This window comes from Homo sapiens, chromosome 13, assembly GCF_000001405.40.
Source record: "Homo sapiens chromosome 13, GRCh38.p14 Primary Assembly".
Lineage (NCBI taxonomy): Eukaryota > Metazoa > Chordata > Mammalia > Primates > Hominidae > Homo > Homo sapiens.
In genome coordinates, this window is record NC_000013.11 from 112,331,800 (window position 1) to 112,350,399 (window position 18,600).

Sequence of the window (18,600 nt, forward strand, 5' to 3'; positions counted from 1 at the left end):
GCCTGCCTATTAAGTGCCACTAATAGGAAATCAACAAAAGCGCCGTGACATCTGTGTAGACGTCCCAGGCCCCAGGTCTGAGTGCACAGGTGCTGGCCATGAGGCTGCCAAAGAAAGTGCCAAGAGCAGGAAATTCACCAACAATGAGGCGGACTGTGCTCGCGGCGGAATCGGCAGCCCCATCACCCGCAGCCGCGCCTTGGCCTCCGGATAATTAGGTCCCCAAACCAGGCAGCCCTTTGTCCTGAGCGGCTGGCTGGCCAAAAGCATTGGACAGGGATTTTAAAAATCTCTTCTTTTTAATGACTCTTCTCCCTGCTCAAGCATAAATGAAAGATGTTATTTTTTTAAAAAGTCCTCTGAGAGGATCTCAAATGTGTAGCCCTTATGTTGTAGGGAGAGTGGGGTTTCCTACTCTTACTGCTGGCGTGCAGAAGTGTCCTTTCATTGCTGGCTTGAAGCGGGCTCACAGAAGAGACGGTGATTGTGATCTGCTACTAGGAAAAAGTTCTGGGATAGTTCGGGCTCCCAAAAGGCAGCTTCCTGGGAAGCTCGTAGGTTTTAGCACCCCAATCCATAGGTTTCTGCAGTGCCTGCTTCTTCCCCGCAATATGATCTTTTAAAAACACCCCTCGGCCCATTCAGCAGATTCACAGACACATCACACTTTCTTTCTTGCCGTTTGAGGATGAGATGGTCTAAGTTTAGAAATTCATCCTAGGAGTGGTTTCAACAGCTCTGGATATAAAAACAGCGCAAGAAGGAAATGTAAATGTAGCTGAGTGGGACGCGTGTGATTTCAGACCCAATTACCGGCAGACTGCAAAGGAGACAGATGCAGATGGCTCCAGATGCGGGGAAGTGCGCTCCGGTCGAGGGCCGTGATTGGGGATGATCATCGCCTACAGCGGCCTTTGGTCCTTTATGAAAAAATAAAGTGAATAAAATAGTTTTACCCCATGGGTTTCAATTCCCTGCTCACCCTCTCTTGGCCTCCCCCTCCATCTCCCTGCAGCCTGGGTGAGACCTTCAGTCCGCAGGCGGGCATTGAGGCCTCGGCACAGTCTGGCCTTATTTCTACAAGGGGAGAAGGAGCCTGACACGGTCAGAGTTTTGCCAAAGCCACGGCCATTGCCAAAGTCCACTCTCCACGTGTGTCTTGGCTGGAGTGGCTGGTTTCTGGAATTCAACATGTAAAGGCACCAATGATCCCTCTGGAAACCCAGAAAAAGGCAAGTTGGAGGCTACTGCCGCGTTCCACCTGGCGTCTGTCCCCACGCCACAGCTGGGCACCTCCACCCTCCCCCCACACAGAGAGGGGACTGCCGGACACAGGCTCCAGAGAACAGGGCTGCCAAGACCTACGGAGGCCTCCCCATCCCTGTACTGGGGAACTGAGATGAAAGCCACCCCCGCATTTGTCCAGAATGAGTGGAGACTGGACTTCAGAGCTGGACCCACCTGTGGGGCTGAGCAGGGGTCGGTAGGCATTTGTTGAAGGTGTTCCTGCCCCTCCCAGCCCCTGCCTGGCTTCCGCACTAGCCCCGGCACCTGGGATCCTGCATTTTCTTCCTAATCCTTTATCCAAGGCCGAGCTTGATAGTTCTGCCTATTCTCCTTCCCCACGTTTTCCTCCCCTCTACCTAACAGGTTTCTGGGCTTCTGACCCATACCCCTGACCTCACCACAACCTTTGTTTTCAGTGTGGTAAATACATAAACCAGGACCATAATTGTTGATGATCATTCTCAAGTACTATGTACTGTACACAGCTGTCTGTGCTAGACTCTTACATGCCGGCCACGCAGCAGGTTTGTTCACACCAGCATTACTGCACCCACGTGAGTGATGCACTGTGTGACCCCAGGATGGCTGTGATGTGACAAAGCCCAGCACACACAATTAGCTATAGCAGTCATATTTGATAATGGTAACAAACGATCATGTCACAGGTTGGTGTATTTATTATGCTGTACTTCTCATCATTATTTTGGAGTACTGCTCTTTCTATATATGTGTAAGTCAACTGCAGAACAGCCTCAGACAGGTCCTTCAGGAGGTGTCCAGAAGAAGGCATTGTCATAGATGACGGCTCCGTGTGTGTCACTGCCCCTGAAGACCTTCCAGTGGGACAACATGTGGGGGCGGAAGACAGTGATGTCGACGGTCCTGACCCCAGGACCCGGCCGAGGCTAATGTGTGTGTTTGTATTTTTGTTTTTAACAAAAAAAAAATTTTTTAAGTAAAAAATTAAAAATAGAAGAAAAGCATATAGAATAAAGATACAAAGAAAATATTTTTGTACAGCTGTACAATGTGTGTTTTAAGCTGAGTGTTATTATAAGAGTCAAAAAATTAAAAGTTTATAAAAGTAAAAAAAGTCATAGTAAGCTAAGGTTAACGTATGATTTAAAGAAGAAAACTATTTTTGGTCAGTGTAGTGCACCGAAGGGTACAGCGTTTGTGAGTCACCCGTAGAGCGCAGTCATGTCCGAGGCCTTCACAGCCAGTCCCCACCCACTCCCTGACTCACCCAGAGCAACTTCCAGTCCCGCAGCTCCATTCGTGGGAGGTGCCCTGTGTAGGTGTGCCCGTTTTTATCTTTTGTACTGTATTTTCACTGTATTTTTTCTATGTTTAGATATATTTAGACACATAAGGGCTTACCATTGTGTTGGAGTTGCCTACAGTGTTCAGTAGAGTCACACACTGTGCAGGTTTGTAGCCTAGGAGTCAGAGGCTGCACCATAGAGCTGAGGTGTGCAGCAGGTGCTACCATCTAGGTTTGAGTCAGCACGCTCTACATCAGGGGTGTTCAATCTCTTGGCTTCCTTGGGCCACATTGCAAGAATTGTCTTGGGTCACATGTAAAATTCACCAACACTAATGATAGCTGATGAGCTAAAAAAAAAAAATCTCATACTGTTTTAAGAAAGTTTACGAATTTGTGTTGGGCCACATTCAAAGCCATCCTGGGCCACATGCGGCCCATGGGCCATGGGTTGGACAAGCTTGCTCCAGATGTCCACACAGTGATGAAATTGCCTAACAACACATTTCTCAGAAATCGCCCCGCGGTTAAGCAACGCATGGCTATATCTTTGGATTCCCATGTCATAACTAACCTTAAATAAACTGCCTAATTGGTGTATCATCAAAGAAGATCCACATGTAACTGAAAAGGCCATTAAAAGACTCCTCTTACCAACTGTGTATCTGAGAGAATGGAATTATCTTCATCCACTTCCACCAGAAAGAGATGTGAGAATCCACTGACTCCTGCTAAGCCAGGCATGAAAGAGATTGGCAAAGGCACACACACCAAGACCACTCTTCTCATTAAATTTTTTGTATTTGGAAAATATCACTTTTAATAAAAATATGCTAGGTTTACACAAAATGTATTTAATATTTTAAATTTCTCAGTTTTCGTAGTTATTATTGTAAGCACATTAAGAGCGCAAAGTTGCCCAGAGACTAGGCCACTTGAGAACAGCAGCTCCACCCTCCCACATCCGTGCTGTGAAGCCACCCCACGCCAGAGGCAGGCCAGGATTCGGGCACGCGTTGGAGAATTACTTCCCCTGGAAGCTGGAGAGCCTTTGGAATGAGATCCAGAAAAGCTGCCACCATCAAGATCACCGCCTCCTCTGTGTGCCTCTTTCAACCCAGCACCGAAACACCACCATCCTGTGGGCCCAGAAGCTTTGGCCTGGCTCTCAGAAGGATGCTCAAGCAGCTCCTTGGTGAGAACCATGGCAGGGAACGGCACCGGGGCCTCCAATGTGGTGCAGGTGAGCTGCACACAGCTGAAGGAGATAAATGATGTTTTGCACATCGGCCACAAAACCAGATTAAGGAACTTCTGGTTCCAGACAACATGAAGTAGGTCCATTTCTCTCTATTCCCCTCACTAAGAACAGCTAGAACTGTATGTATTATACATCAAACACTCAAGAAAAAGCTGTGAAAATTCGAGAAGGCAGACGGACTAGAGACAGCAGGACCTGAGGAAACATGTAGCATTTTCTTTATCCTCACTGAGGCCTGGAGAGTCCAGCCACGCAGAAACACTAACAGACACAGACCCAACAAAAGGCCAAAGAAAAGCCAGTTCTCTCTCTAGGTCAAAGGAATGGAGCAACTTAGCAGGAAGGAAAATTTTTCAACAACAATGGCCTCCTCCAGCCAAGCACCAGAGGAGAGGTTGTGGCCCCGCCCACACTCCTGATGGGTGGATCAGCAGAGACCTGATGGAGAGTCTGACCTCCACCCCCTGCACTCAGAAGGCACCTCCCAACACCCCAGGTGTCAGGGCACCTGTGGAGGAACCCAGACTTCTATGGCTAATTGACAGTAATGAGGCAACAGCCTCCTCTCCTGATGGTGTGCTGTCAGAGGAGACCTGCTGAAGCAGAAGGTGAACATAAGAACGTGGTGTGATACTGAAGATGTTGAGATACAATTAAAAATCATCATCTGGTGATTCCTCAAAGACCCAGAGCCAGAAATACCGTTTGACCCAGCAATCTCATTACTGGGTATATACTCAAAGGAATATAAATCAGTCTATTATAAAGACATATGCATGTGTATGTTCATTGCAGCACTATTCACAATAGCAAAGACATGGAATCAATCCAAGTGCCCATCAATGATAGACTAGACAAAGAAAATGTGGTACATACACACCATGGAATACTGCACAGCCATAAAAAGGATGGGTTCATGTCCTTTGCAGGAACATGGATGAAGCTGGAAGCCATTATCTTCAGCAAACTAACACAGGAACAGAAAACCAAACACCACATATTCTCACTTACAAGTGGGAGCTGAACAATGAGAGCACATGGACAGAGAGAGAGGAACAACACACACCAGGGCCTGTGGTGGGGGCAGAGGGAGGGAGAGCATCAAGAAAAATAGCTAACACATTCTGGGCTTAATACCTAGATGATGGGTTGATAGGTGCAACAAACCACCATGGCACACATTTACCTATGTAACAAACCTGCACACCCTGCACATTGTACCCCAGAACTAAAAATAAAATAAAATGAAAACCACTCATCATACTAAGAATCTGGAAAATCTCAACTTAAATGAGAAAAGACAAGCAACAGACACCAACTCTGACGTGGCACAGATGCTGGAACTATCAAACAAGCAATTGTCACAATTACAAACCTGCTGGAAACATATGTGAAAATAGAAAGCATCAGCAAAGAAACAGAAGATACAGCAAAGAACCAAATGGAAATGTTAGAACTGAAAAGTATGATAATGCAAATAAAATAACCTGCTGGATGGGCTCAACACAAGAATGTAGAAGACAGAGGAAATAGCCAATGAACTTGAGGATGGAACAGTAGAAATTACCCAATCTGACCAGCAGAGAGAAGACAGGTTAAAAAAAAAAAAAAGAATAAAATGCCTCCAGTATCTTGGAAGTAAAACAACAACCTAACATTCGTGTTGTTGGAACCCCAGAAGAAGAGGAGAATGAGGACGAGGCTGGAAAAGTATCTAAAAAAATAATGGAAGAAAATTTCCCAAATTTGGCAAAAATCATACACTTCAGAATCAAGAACCTGAGCAAAGCCAAGGCACAGCCCGTATCCCAGTCAAACTTCAGAAGCTGCAGGCAATGAAAAACTCCCAAAAGCAGCCAGAGAGAAAGGAGGCATCACTCATAGGGAAAAAAAATACAAAAGATAGCAAATTTCTCATCAGAAACCCTAGAGACTAGTCCCAATAGGGCACAAATTCTTCAAGGGCTGAAAGAAAAGAACTATCAGCCCAGAATACTATATGCAGCAAAGATTTCCTCAAGACTTAAGGGAAAATCATGACATTCTCTGATGAAGAAAAATGGAGAAAATTTATCACAATCAGACCTGTCTTAAAACAATGGAGAGAGGAAGTTCTCTAAACAGAAGGGAAATGATGGAAAAGGGAATCTCTAAAGGTGAGGAAGGAAGGAACAGCGACAGAAAGAAAGGAAATGCTGGTGGAGACAACAGACCTTCCTCCTCCTCCTGAGGTTTTTGAGGTTTTTTGTTTGTTTTTTGGTTTTTTATTGTTGTTGTTGTTGTTGATGTTGTTGTTGTTGTTTGAGATAGAGTTTTGCTCTTGTTGCCCAGGCTGGAGTGCAATGGTGTGATCTCAGCTCACTGCAACCTCTGCCTCCCAGATTCAAGCAATTCTCCTGCCTCAGTCTCCCAAGTAGCTGGGATTACAGGCGCCCATCACCATGCCCGGCTAATTTTTGTATTTTTAGTGGAGACAGGATTTAGCCATGTTGGCCTGGTTGGTCTCAAACTCCTGACCTCAAGCAGTCCACCCACCTTGGCCTCCCGAAGTGCTGGGATTACAGGCATGAGCTACTGCCCCCAGCCTCCTCCTGAGCTTTCTAAACTTTGTTTGAAAGTTTGAGCAAAAATAATCATGCTGTGATTCCCAATGTATGTGTAGGAAATTGCAAAACAATGATTTTACAAAGGCAGGAGGTGATAATGAACTTACAGAAATGTAAGATTTCTGCAGTTCACTCAAACTGATAAAATGTCAACACTAAAATAAAATAAAATAAAAAGTTTTAAATTAAAAAAAATAATTCAAAGACTAGACAATTTTAGAAGAGAAAACCCACTAAGGATAAGCGCAGTCCCTGAAATGAAGAATGTGTGATGGGCATCACCGGTGGGGGCTGGGGGCATGTGCCAGGGCAGTGCTCAGTCCCTGGAGCGAAGAATGGGTGATGAGCATCACCAGTGGGGGCTGGGGGAGTGTGTCAGGGCAGTGCTGGTGGCATCTGTCTGCCACCATGGAGACTCATCAAGGAAAACGGTGCTGTCTCCAATTTATGGGTCAAGACAGATCTGGCGACTTGCAAAGTCCAGCATCCAAAAGCCAGGAAGTGACTGAATGAGAATTCAAACCCGAAACCCACCTTATCTTCTCCCAGTGCTGTGTGGCTCCATGGCACCTGTCTGTGTCCAGCATCCCCTCTTATTCATGGGGACTCACTGCAAGACCCCAGTGGATGCCTGAAGACGAAGCTCCTTCGGAACCCCGTGCAGGCACACCTCATTTTATTGTACCTCACTTTATTGTGCTTTCCAGATACTGTGGGGTTTTGTTTATTTGTTTTTTACAGGTTGAAGATTTGTGACAACCTTGCGGTGAACAAGACTGACAACACGATTTTTCCAGCAGCAGGTGCTCACTTCATGACCCTGTGGCACATTTTTGTATTTTCACAATATTTTAAAGTTTTCATCATTATTCCATCTGTTATGGTAGTCTGTGATCAGTGACCTTTGATGTTACTATTGTAATTGTTTTAAGGTGCCACAAACAGTGCCCATATAAGACAGTGAACTTCACGGAGAAACATTGTATGTTCTGACTATTCCATCAACCAATCGTCTCCCCACCTCCCTCCTTCTCTTCAGTCCTCTCTATTCCCTGAGACACAACAATATTGAAATTAGGCCAGTTAAGAACCTTACAATGGCCTCTAAGTGTTCCAGTAAAAGAAAGAGTCGCACATATCTCACTTTAATCAAAAGCTAGAAATGATTAGCTGAAGGAGGAAGGCATGTCAATTGCTGAGATGCCAAAACCTAGGCATCTTGCACCAAATAGCCAAGTTGCAAATGCAAAGAAAAAATTATTGAACAGAATTAAAAGTGCTACTCCAGTGAGCACACAAATGATGAGAAAGTGAAACAGCCTTATTGCTGATGTGAAGAAAGTATGAGTGGTCTGGACAGGAGATGAAACCAGCACAATATTCCCTTAAGCCACAGCCTAATCCAGAGCAACCCCCCAACTCTCTTCAGTGAAGAGAGTTGTGGAGACTGAGAGAGGTGAGGAAGCTGCAGAAGAAAAGTTGGAAGCTAGCAGGAGTTTAGTTCATGAGGTTGAAAGAAAGAAGCCGTCTCCATAACATAAAAGTGCAAGGTGAAGCAGCAAGTGCTGATGGAGAAGCTGCAGCAAGTTCTCCAGAAGCCCCAGCTGAGGTCACTGATGCAGGTGGCCACAATAACAACAGATTTTCAACATAGAAGAAACAGCCTTCTGTTGCAAGAAGATGCCATCTAGGACTTTCATAGCTAGAGAGGAGACGTCAGTGCCTTCCTTCAAAGCTACAAATCACAAGCTGACTCTCTTGTAAGGAGCTAATGCAACCAGTGACTTTAATGCAACTGGTGACTTTAAGTTGAAGCTAATGCTCATTGACCACTTCAAAAATCCTAAGGCCGTTAAAAATTATGCTAAATCTACTCTACCTATGCTCTATCAATGGAATAACAAAGCCTGGATAACCGCATATCTGTTTACAGCATGGTTTACTGAATATTTTAAGCCCACTGTAGAGACCCACTGCTTGGACAAAAAAAAGACTTATTTTAAAATATTACTGCTCATTGATAGTGCATCTGGTCACCCAAGAGTGCCAATGGAGATGTACAAGGAGATGAATATTGTTTTCATGCCTGCTAACAAAACATCCATTCTGCAGCCCATGGATCAAGGAGTGATTTTGACTTTCAGGTCTTTTTTTTTTTTTTTGAAAATGCATTTTGTAAGGCTATAGCTGCCAGAGAGAGTGATTCCTCTGATGGGTCTGCACAAAGTAAATTGAAAACCTTCTGGAAAGGTTGCACCATTCTAGATGCTACTAAGAACATTGGTGAAGTGAAATTTGAAACCAAAATGTCAGCATTAACAGGAGTTTGGAAGAAGTTGATTCCAACCTTCATAGGTGACTTTGAGGGGTTAATGACATCACTGGAAGAAGGAACTGCAGATGAGGTGGGAACAGCAAGAGAACTAGAATTGGAAGTGGGGCCTGGAGATGTAGCTGAACTGCTGCACCTTCATGAGAAAACGTAAATGGATGAGGAGTTCTTCCTCATGGATAAGCAAAGAAAGTGGGTTCTTGAGATGAACTGGTGAAGATGCTGTGAACATTGTTGAAATGACAACAAAGAATTTAGAATATTACATAAACTTAGTTGATAAAGCATTGGCAAGGTTTGAGAGGACTGACTCCAATTTTGAAAGTTCTACTGTGGGTAAAATGCTATCAAATAGCATTACATGCCACAGAGAAAACTTTGATGAAGGGAGGAGTCCATCAACGTGGCGACCTTCACTGTCTTATTTTAAGAAATTGTCACAGCTGCCCCATCCTTCGGCAATCACCACCCTGGTCAGTCAGCAGCCACCCATATTGAGGCAAGACCCTCCAACAGCAAAGATTACAACTTGCTGAAGGTCCGGATGATTGTTAGCATTTTTTAGCAGTAAAGTATTTTTCAATTAAGGATTGCACATTGTTTTTAGACAGAATGCTACTGCACACTTAATAGGCTACAGTACAGTGTAAACTTTATATGCACCAGGAAACCAAAAAGTTTGTGTGAGTCACTTTATTGCAATATTCTCTTTATTGCAGTGGTCTAGAACTGAACCTGCAATATCTCTGAGGTATGCCTGTATGTACTGTTTTTTCCTATACCTGTATACTCACGATAAAGTTTAATGTATACATTAGGCACGGTAAGAGATTAACAACAATGGCTAATAACAAACTAGAACAGTTATAGCAATCTACTGCAATAAAAGTTATGTGAATGTGCATGTTCTCTCTCTCTCTCCCCCCCCTCCCCCTCTCCTTCTCTCTCTCCCTCTCCCTCTCTCTCTCTCCCTCTCCCTCCCTCTCTCTCCCTCTCTCTCCCTCTGCCTGTCTCTCCCTCCCTCTCTCTCCCTCTCTCCCTCTCTCTCTCCCTCCCTCTTTCTCTCTCTCCCTCTCTCTCTCTCTCTCCCTCTCTCCCTCTCTCTCTCTCTCTTTCCCTCTCCCTCTCCCCCCGCCTCTCTCTCTCTCTCTTTCTCCCCCTGATACCTTATTGCACTATAGTAACCGGTTTTCAGACCACACTTGGCCTTGGGTAAATGAAACACAGAAAGCAAAACCGCAGATGGGAAGGACTGTGGCTTAAGTGTAAGAAACTCTCAAAGCCTATGTATGTTTTCTTGTACCAAAATCTGAGAACGGTTTCATGATTGTTAAAGAACCATAGTGATTAGAAGGAAAATAACTGGGAAATCAACTGATTTCTGTCTATTTTGTAATTTCTAGGACAACGGTGCTCAGGGTGCTGCTCATTCGGGATTCGCCGAAACCCCTGCTCCTCAGAGCCCAGCCCAGAGCCTGGACCCGGCTCTCAGGCCCCCCAGTCAGCCTGTGTGAAGTCTAATGTCACAGCTGTGTCCTGTGTGCGGCCAGGGGCGGCCGGGATTGAGAATGCTGCTCCAGGGTGATGCCAGATCTTCACCTGAATTCAAAACCCATTTGAAATGTCGCTGTGAAAACCAAAAGAAAAGCAAGGGACAGAGCCCCACGGCGCCGCGCTGGCCCCTGCCACAGACCCAGCCCTGTCCTCATCAATTCTCGCTACCACGAAAGTGTCCTGACCTCATGAGGTCTCACTTTCCTCGCTGCAAAATGGGAACAGTCCCACCCTTTCCTGGTGTGATCAGGATTAAACTAGAGGAGGGGGTTGGGCAGTGGTCCTAAGCCCCAGACCCTAAGAAGGAGACCGTGTCTGGGGAAGGCTTCTCTGCAGATGTAGCTAAGGACCTGGAAAGGAGATTGTCCTAGATTAGGGCGGGCCCCGCATCCAACGCCAGGTGTCCTTCTAAGAGACACGGGAAGTGAAAGCACAGCACAGTGTGGCCGCGAGAAAAACGAGGCAGAGACCAGCGCGATGCAGAGCAAGCCAAGGAGCTCCCGCGCCACAGGAGGCTGGAAGGGGCAGGAAGGACCCTCCCTGGCCCCCCGGAGGGAGTGGGGCCCTGAGACGCCTGGATTTCTGACTTCTGACCCCAGAACTTTGAGGGAAGGAATTTCAGTTTTAAGCCAAGCACCGGGGCAATCTCCAACAGCAGCCACGGGCGGCTCCAGGCACTGGCTCATGTCTGGGGGGGTCTCTGCGTAAGCGGCCATGGATGCCTAGTAGCCACGCTTTCAGAGACTTATTCCGAAGCCCCCCCTCCACCTGCCCTCGGCGTGAGAAGCAGCCTTCGAGCCTAGGTTGGGACTAATGAAAACGCAGATTAAACAGCGTCCTCCCTCCGGGCGGGCCTGAAGACCACCTTCCCTTCCAGGCGGGCAGCGATGCCCGAGAGCCCAAGGTCCCGGGACCTGGTGCAGGAAGAGCCGCCTGCGCGGGGGAGACGCGGGGATCACCGGCCACACCCCGGACGCTCAGTCGGGGCCTTACTCGGGGGGGCGGCAGCCCCAGCCTCCCGGGAATCCAGGGACGTCGCGGCGTGGCCCGGGTCTGCCCCCAAGACGCTGCGTCCTAGGCCCTGCCCAGGGCGGATGGGGTCCGCGTGAGTGAGGCGAGTCCACGGGGCAGGCCGGGGTCTGCGGGGGAGGAAGCCGACAGCAGCGCCCCTGGGCCCGCGGGGCCAGGCCGGGGAGGGACGGGGAGGGGACCCGAGCCCACCGCGCGCCCTCCGGGGACTCCCCACGCACAGGGCAGGTGCTAGCCAGGCGCCCACGGGAGACGCCCCTTCTGCCGCCCGGAAAGTGGGAATAAAACAAGACAGGACAAACGCTTCACGTGCAGCTTTGGGAGTGGAAAGGAATCATTCATTTTCCCTCTTCTTAACAGAGGGTGTTTCCAAGTAAGGATGCATCACTTCAAAAGCTTGTGTTACTTTCGTAATTAAAAATACATCTGGTAAAAGAATTTGAGTACCTTTCTATCTAACCGGTCCGGGGAACGGGATGAAGTCGACCTTATATCCCAGTGGTCTCCGAGCCAGCCCTGGGCAGGCGCCTCTGCAGCCAAACCCATGCTCATCTCAGGATCCTTCTGCAGGATGAAGGACCGAACACAGGGCCTCGTCTCCAAAGGTGCTCAGTAAATGGTGGCTGCCGCATGCTGGCCGCCCCCCAAACAGCCCCAGCGCGGCGTGTCCTCGCCGTCACCCTCCTCTCTGTCCAGGGCTCGGGGGAGCTTATTAATAAATAGCTGTCCCCTAGGGGTGCATACGGCCAGGGCTGCGGCCCTTCAGCGCCTCCGCCCGTTTCTCAGATGGCACAGCCCACGCCCATGCTTCTCTCCGTGGAGACCACGTCCCTGTCCTGAAAGCAGGGGGAGTTCGCACATGGGCTGGCGAAGGAATCACCTCCTCACCCCATGCCAGACCATCGTTTTCATCCTTCGTTTGTGCACGTTTTTCTAGGGATTTCTCTCGTTGACAATTCAGAGACAATGTGACCTCCATGGCCATGGAGGCCCCTGCGAAGCATGCCTTTCCTTTGTCTAACTCTTAGTGCTCAGACTTCCAAAATACGGGCTAGAACAAGCGCGCACACTCATCTCTCTGCTTCTAGTGACGAGATCCCTGCATCAGGGCTCAGTGAGGCTCAGACAGTTCTTCTCTGCCTTTTCCCTCTGCTATCCCAAAAACGCCAATGTGCAGACGAGACAGCATTTCTTAGCCTCAGGTTAGAAAAAGCACAAGATGACGCTCCCTGCGTGTACCTAGGATTCTGACATAAGCAAAAATCTTACTGAATTAACTCTCCAGGGATGAGTTGGTAATCCCGTAATCTGAAGAACAATCAGACTCTGCCACTACTGGCTGCGAACCAAGAGAAAATGTTGTACGGGCAAGCTGCTCTGGAGGGTCGTCCTCACATTACGGAGTCCAAAAGATGGTAAACAGATTTGGGAAAGTACCAGCGATGTGTCTCGTTACCAGCTCTGAAAGGGACTCGACCCTGGGTAATCAGCCAGGAAGTAAACCAGAAGGGAAATAGCTGTTACCACGGTGAGGTCTCAGCTCCTGCCTCTTCCTTGTCTGTCGCTCTGAAGAACGCGGCAAAATTGGCCTAGTAGCCCCTCTGCCTTCTGAATCAATGGTGCAAGAAAAAAAATGTTTAAATTCCTCTAACTTCTGAGCAAAAAGACTTATGTAAAAAGTCTTTTCTGTTGTTCACGACGCGTGCCCCTCACCTCCCCTGACAGGCTGTCAACATGTGAGCTTTGCCTTTACTGTGAGGAGATTTGAACCCCCAGCCCTGAGAGGAGATTTGAACCCCTAGCCTGAGTCCGCGGGTTCCACTTGTTTCCAGGAGATGGTTGCAATGACATCATAAACAGTATCCTGTGAGTTGGTCGTCTAGACTTCTGGGTTTTTTTTTTAATTATGGTAAAAAACGCATATATTAAAATTTACCATTTTAACCATTTTTCAGGGTCCAGTGCCACGGTGTCAAGTACATGCACACTGTCGTGTAAGATCTCTAGAACTCTTTCATTTCCCAAAATTGAAACTCTGCACCCCGTAAAGGACATCTCCTCACTTCCCCCGCCCCCCACCACCCTGCCCTCCGCAGCCTCTGGCTTCAGTTGTTGTTGTTGTTAACTATCAGTAAGGATCTAATTAAGGAATGCAGAAAGAAAATTCTGACCCAAGGAATTGGGGGCTGTGAAAATGAACAGAGGTCCCTCATCTGGAGGGAATGTACATAGGCCACATCAGGCCTGCCCGGGGTCTCTGTGGTGAAATTAGTAGCAAATTCTACAAAGACACTGAAATCACGGCCCCTGTGCTGGAAGCAGGTGCGTCTGCCTTTGACTAGAAAGCCTCTTCCCAGTGAGTTCTTCTTTCATGACTACTGCTGCTGGCCTCCCGTACAAAAGTTCATGTCCTCATTCAATCAGGTTGCTGTCTCCCCAGCAAGTTTAGGACTTGCTAGAACTATTTGCTTCTGTGTGTGGGATCAATCCCATGTCACTCATAGGCTAGACTTTTAAGTTTTGACATTTGGATAATGCAGCTACACAAACCTCTGTTCCCTGCCTGGGACCCCCAAGGCTGCAGTCGAGGGGCAGGAGTTCAGAGCACGGTTCAGAGTCAATGCCTATCAGGTACACTAAGGGTCCCACACGCTCTGTAGCTAACACTGTGATGTTTCTAGAATATCAGCTTCAGAGATACACAATACAGTTTTGTATTCTTTTCACATGCTGAGAACTAAACAACCATATTCATTATGTAGTTCTCCTATCAAGCAGTGGCTACTTTTCATCAAGAAATTCACAAGGTGATCAAACATTTGGGCAAGGTCACTCCTCAAGGGAGAAGGAGAGGAGCCCAGGAGAGCTGTGCTCTGGGCGGGCGCCCGGCACTAAGCTTAGATGGAAGGTGTTCAGCAGAGGGCTGGGCATGCAGCTGCGAGGTGGGCCGGGCAAAGCCCCACACACTGAAGCTTAGAAACTCGACTGCACCAGGCCTTTCTCATGTCCCTGCGCTGTGATGTGTCTGATGAGGGCAATGAGGGCAGCATTTACCTGAGCCCGTGAACACCTCCTCCACCAGACATTGGTGTGGTGGTGTCAGGCCATTCAGGCAGGGCTACGAGTTGCCTCCACCGGATGCCCCTGAGGCTCTCCAGATCACATCTGCCAGCTCCCCAGAGAGAGGACGCCGGCAAGGCAGGTTCAGAGCAGTTGCCGAGCCTCGAACAGCCTCTGCTGGACCGTTGCCGCTCCAGGGAGGCTTCAAGCAACGCCCTCCCCTGGCCGAGCCGCCCTCTCATCAGTCATCAGGAGCCGTGGGGAAATCACTCTGAGCCCCGAGGCGGGAGCTGCCGGCAATTGCCTGTGATTGATAGCACTAAATATGAAACCGCATGTACCTCATCCATGCAGCATGGAATCAGAGGCATATTGTTAGTGGGGGAGATGAATAGAACTTGAGATAACCTCGGCAAATTAGGCATATGTTAGCGTTAAGCTTTGTCAGTAAGCAGGCTATAAATTACAGACAGATTGTAACTCCATAAACTCTCCTAATGAATTGGATGACAGTGGTAATTCAATGCGAACACAGCAGCTTAACCCTTTTAAGAAGTCAGCCCCAGGCCTCCAGGATGCACCCAGCCAAAAGGCCCTGTCAAAGTCTGTCTTTAATATCTCCCTTGAGAGCATCTGCGGCAAGATAAAATAACTTCTTAACATTTTCTGCATATCAAAAACAAAAGTTCGAGACCCTATAGACAATTACATTATTTCATAGTTCATTCCTTTTTGAGTTTTTCTCCCCAGCACATAATTTTTATTATAGTTCTTTTTTCCTTAAAACGATCACACTAAATGCTAGGAAGGCAGAAGCCCTAGCGTGCCCTGCAAATGTGGGCGATTACCGAGCACATCGGGGGGTATCCTGCACTCTCAGGCTAAAGGCTCAGAGACTTTCACCAGAAGGAGAGGCGGTCTTTCCATACAAATGCACTACCTGCAGTGTCTTGTTGCAATAATGAAGTGGAATTTATAAATAAAAATAAGGTGCCGAGACAGACCCTGTGCGATTTGCGGCCATTACTGACAGAGGAACGACGTCAGTGACAGCTAAACTGAGGCTGTGAAGCTGTTTCATAATTTGCTGTATATTTTAGTAAAAGTTGCATGTAGAAATAACTGACAAATCAATGTTGATCAAAAGAAAACCTTAAATTCAAATGGGAAAATTAAAGGTAATATGTCATTATTTAAAATGTGTTGACATAGTAAAAAGCATTCTTTAGTTCCTGTTCAAAAGGAAGTAACACAAAATAGCACCAATGGGTATAATTATTGTATATCAGGTACAGCTACTGGTACTCATGTTACAAAACTAAGAATTTTAAAAATAAATTACCCTTATCTAGGTGTATTTTCTCTTCTACAGAACACAATCCTCTTTTACTACAGATGTTAAAGGAAACATGTTCTTTACTTCTTTTACCATGGTGTTAACAGTAGCCATCTCTTTCTTCATAGACCCACAGCACGTAATTCCAGCCAGACATTCAACCCCTGCGGATTTTATGTGAGCGGATCCACAGTATCATTTTCTATGGCTCTAGTAGAAGGTGTCTGTTCACAGAGCATTTCTACAGAGCCCAAGGGTCATATTTACAGTAGCGGGGAAATGAATAACAACTGTAACTATTTTACATATTCTGTTTCATCATTTGCTGTATATTTTAGTAAAAGTTGCAGGTAGAAATAACTTAGAAATATACAGCAAATTATGAAACAATGTAACTATTTTACATATTCGAGTTACACCTTTAGTCTGATGATCTTCCAGGACTTCGGAGGGCAATGTTAGAATATCGTCTGTTTCAGTGACTCAGGCGCTGCAATCATTAAGGAATCTGAACAGTGCACCTTAAAAAATCTAATCTGGAAAACAATCTATGTACTTGTCCTTTGCCACTCAGACAGGAAATGGATAAATTCTGAACTAGCAAACTTCCACCGCTTTTGTGAGGCCGAGCGCATTCTTTTGTTAAGGTCAAGCGCACAGCCGTCATCTCACCTTTCTGGGATTCACTGGAAATCACTTTGCCTTCTCGGAGGCATCAGGCACAGCTCAGCTGGCCCTGTGTGAATGGAAGCCACAGGGACGGGAGGTTTTCAAATGTAGGAAAAAGTGACCCTGCTTCCGGGACCCCTTTCCCTGTCCCCATGCCAGGGACACTCCTGGTCTCAGCCTACCCCATGTCGGCCTCCTTGGCTATTTGTCCCCTGAGGCTCCGTGCATGCACTGGGTCTCAGGCAGACATTCTGTGGTTCTGGTGACAGACAAAAACACAGCCACTGATGCTCCAAACTTTGCAAATATTCTCAGCCCCTAAGGGTGGCCCCAGGATCTGAGCAGGCCCATTGGCCTGTTTTATTTGGCTTGCCTACTACTCAGAAAAGACAAGATTTCACATAAAAATCCAGCTTCCCATCCATTCTCAAAAAATCTGAAGAGCAACCATGCAGAGCCCACTCACCAGGGAACAATGCCTGGAGCCCCATCTCTGTGATTCCTTCTTTGGCCACAGGCCTGGCAGCCAATGCAGCCCCCGCCTAGCCTGGCATGAGCCTTCCCCTCTGTCCCTCTCACCCCTGGGCCACCCACAAGGATGTCAGTGTATGAGCCCCGGATGAGAACACCTGGGGCAGGTGCCACTGGCTGGCCTTGAGTGTGACTGTCCCCTGCTGGGAATTCTTTTTCTGTGTGTCTCTTTTGAAGTCCTGGTTTCCCAGTGAGCTTCAGTGAGGAAGAGACATGACTTTCATCGTTCTGACCTTTAAGGCGAAGTCCTTGACCAGCAGCCTCACACCCACCTGGGGGCCTGTTTGGGATACAGAGTCTCAGGCCTGCCCGGGGCCTGCTGAGTGTGAAGCTGTGATTTCACAAGATGCCCAGGAGGTGCTGTGCTCATTAACCTGTCCTCGAAGGCACCTCCAGCAGGACTTGGAGCAGGTGCACAGTCGGCACTGGCCAACGGCTGGCAAGAGGGTGGTGCTGGAGAGTGGAAAACCTGGACCCGATCCTGAAACAAACCAAGAAACCAACAGAAACCGCACGTGGGCCAATCAGCAGGGGGAAGCCACCGCCCCAGAATTCTAAGACCTTCAGGGAGTAACATGAAGAAAATTGTGGCCAAATTATGCAACCCCATTTTTTAGACAGACTCTGTGCCACAGAGTTGAATGATGCCTGTGAGTTTTATTGATAAGATTTCAAGAGGACTCTGAGAATTTGTCTTCCTTCTCAGGTGAGTGGGCTCTGCATGATTGCTCTTCAGATTTTTTGAGAATGGATGGGAAGATGAATTTTTGTGTGAAATCTTGTCTTTTTTGAGTAGCAGACAAGCCAAACAAAACAAGCCAATGGGCCTGCTCAGATCCCGGGGCCACCTTTAAGAGCCGGAGCTCAGCAGTGTTTAATGATCCTCTTCCACAAGCCCACAGCTCTGCTGGGAGGTGTGCTCCAGGGCAAAGAGGACTAGAAGGTGACTCCATTTCCTACATTTCCTACATTCCTCTCCAGTGCAAAGAGGAATAGAAGGTGACTGTTGTCCTCAAGGAGCTTAGAGTCTAGTGAGGGTGTTTGCAAATTTCTGTTTGTGGTGGGAAAATAACAAAGAAGAGGCCGTGAACCCTGAGGTCCTCACAAGCCCGCCAGCTTGTTAGTGATGCGGGTTCCCGGGCTGTAGCCCCGAAGACTCGAGCCCAGTAGCGCAGTGGTGAGACAGGCACCCCCCTTGGTACGAGCACCTGTAGACTCCCGCAGATGTGGTCAGCACCCTTCTCTGAAGCCCCGCAGGTGTTTGTCTCCCTCACACATATGCAAACACGTGTGCGTTTTTTAAATGAATGGAGAATACGGTACTCACTTCCAGCTCTGGAACAAGGGAGGCTTCATGAAAGAGGTGGCCCTGGAGCCACCCTGCCTGATGGCAGGACTGGCCTTGCCTTCTCACTGACACTTGCTCTGGTTGTCTTTCTAACTTCACCAAATTCAAGACTACATGGGAGAAGCTTCTTCTGCTCAGGCCCCACGTGAGAACAAACCACAGGCAGATTTGGGTTCATTGAGATAAGTGAAGTCTTTGTGCTTTCCCTTGGTCCCGACCTCCTGGCTGCAGCCTCAGGAATCCACAGCCTCTCCCATGAAGGGACTCAACTCTCCTCCCTTCCTCTGCATGCCGCAAGGAGCCATGCGCGCTGGGGTAGGGTG

The 18,600-nt window shown here is 47.7% G+C and overlaps 1 long non-coding RNA gene across 1 annotated transcript, besides 1 other annotated feature; it reads right to left on the minus strand.

Annotated features, from left to right (window-relative positions):
* Positions 1-280: 280 nt before the first annotated feature.
* Positions 281-1,812, minus strand: LOC124903250 (uncharacterized). Its single transcript, XR_007063944.1, has 2 exons — positions 1,462-1,812; positions 281-920 (listed from the first exon to the last, which is right to left on the minus strand). It is a non-coding gene; the product is annotated as an uncharacterized LOC124903250 (long non-coding RNA).
* Positions 14,723-15,511: an enhancer, noted in NCBI's record as "OCT4-NANOG-H3K4me1 hESC enhancer chr13:113000836-113001624 (GRCh37/hg19 assembly coordinates)". NCBI's record gives its function as "activates a minimal SCP1, AML or CMV promoter by ChIP-STARR-seq in naive and primed H9 embryonic stem cells {active_cell/tissue: H9 hESC(naive and primed)}" and the evidence as "EXISTENCE:reporter gene assay evidence [ECO:0000049][PMID:30033119]".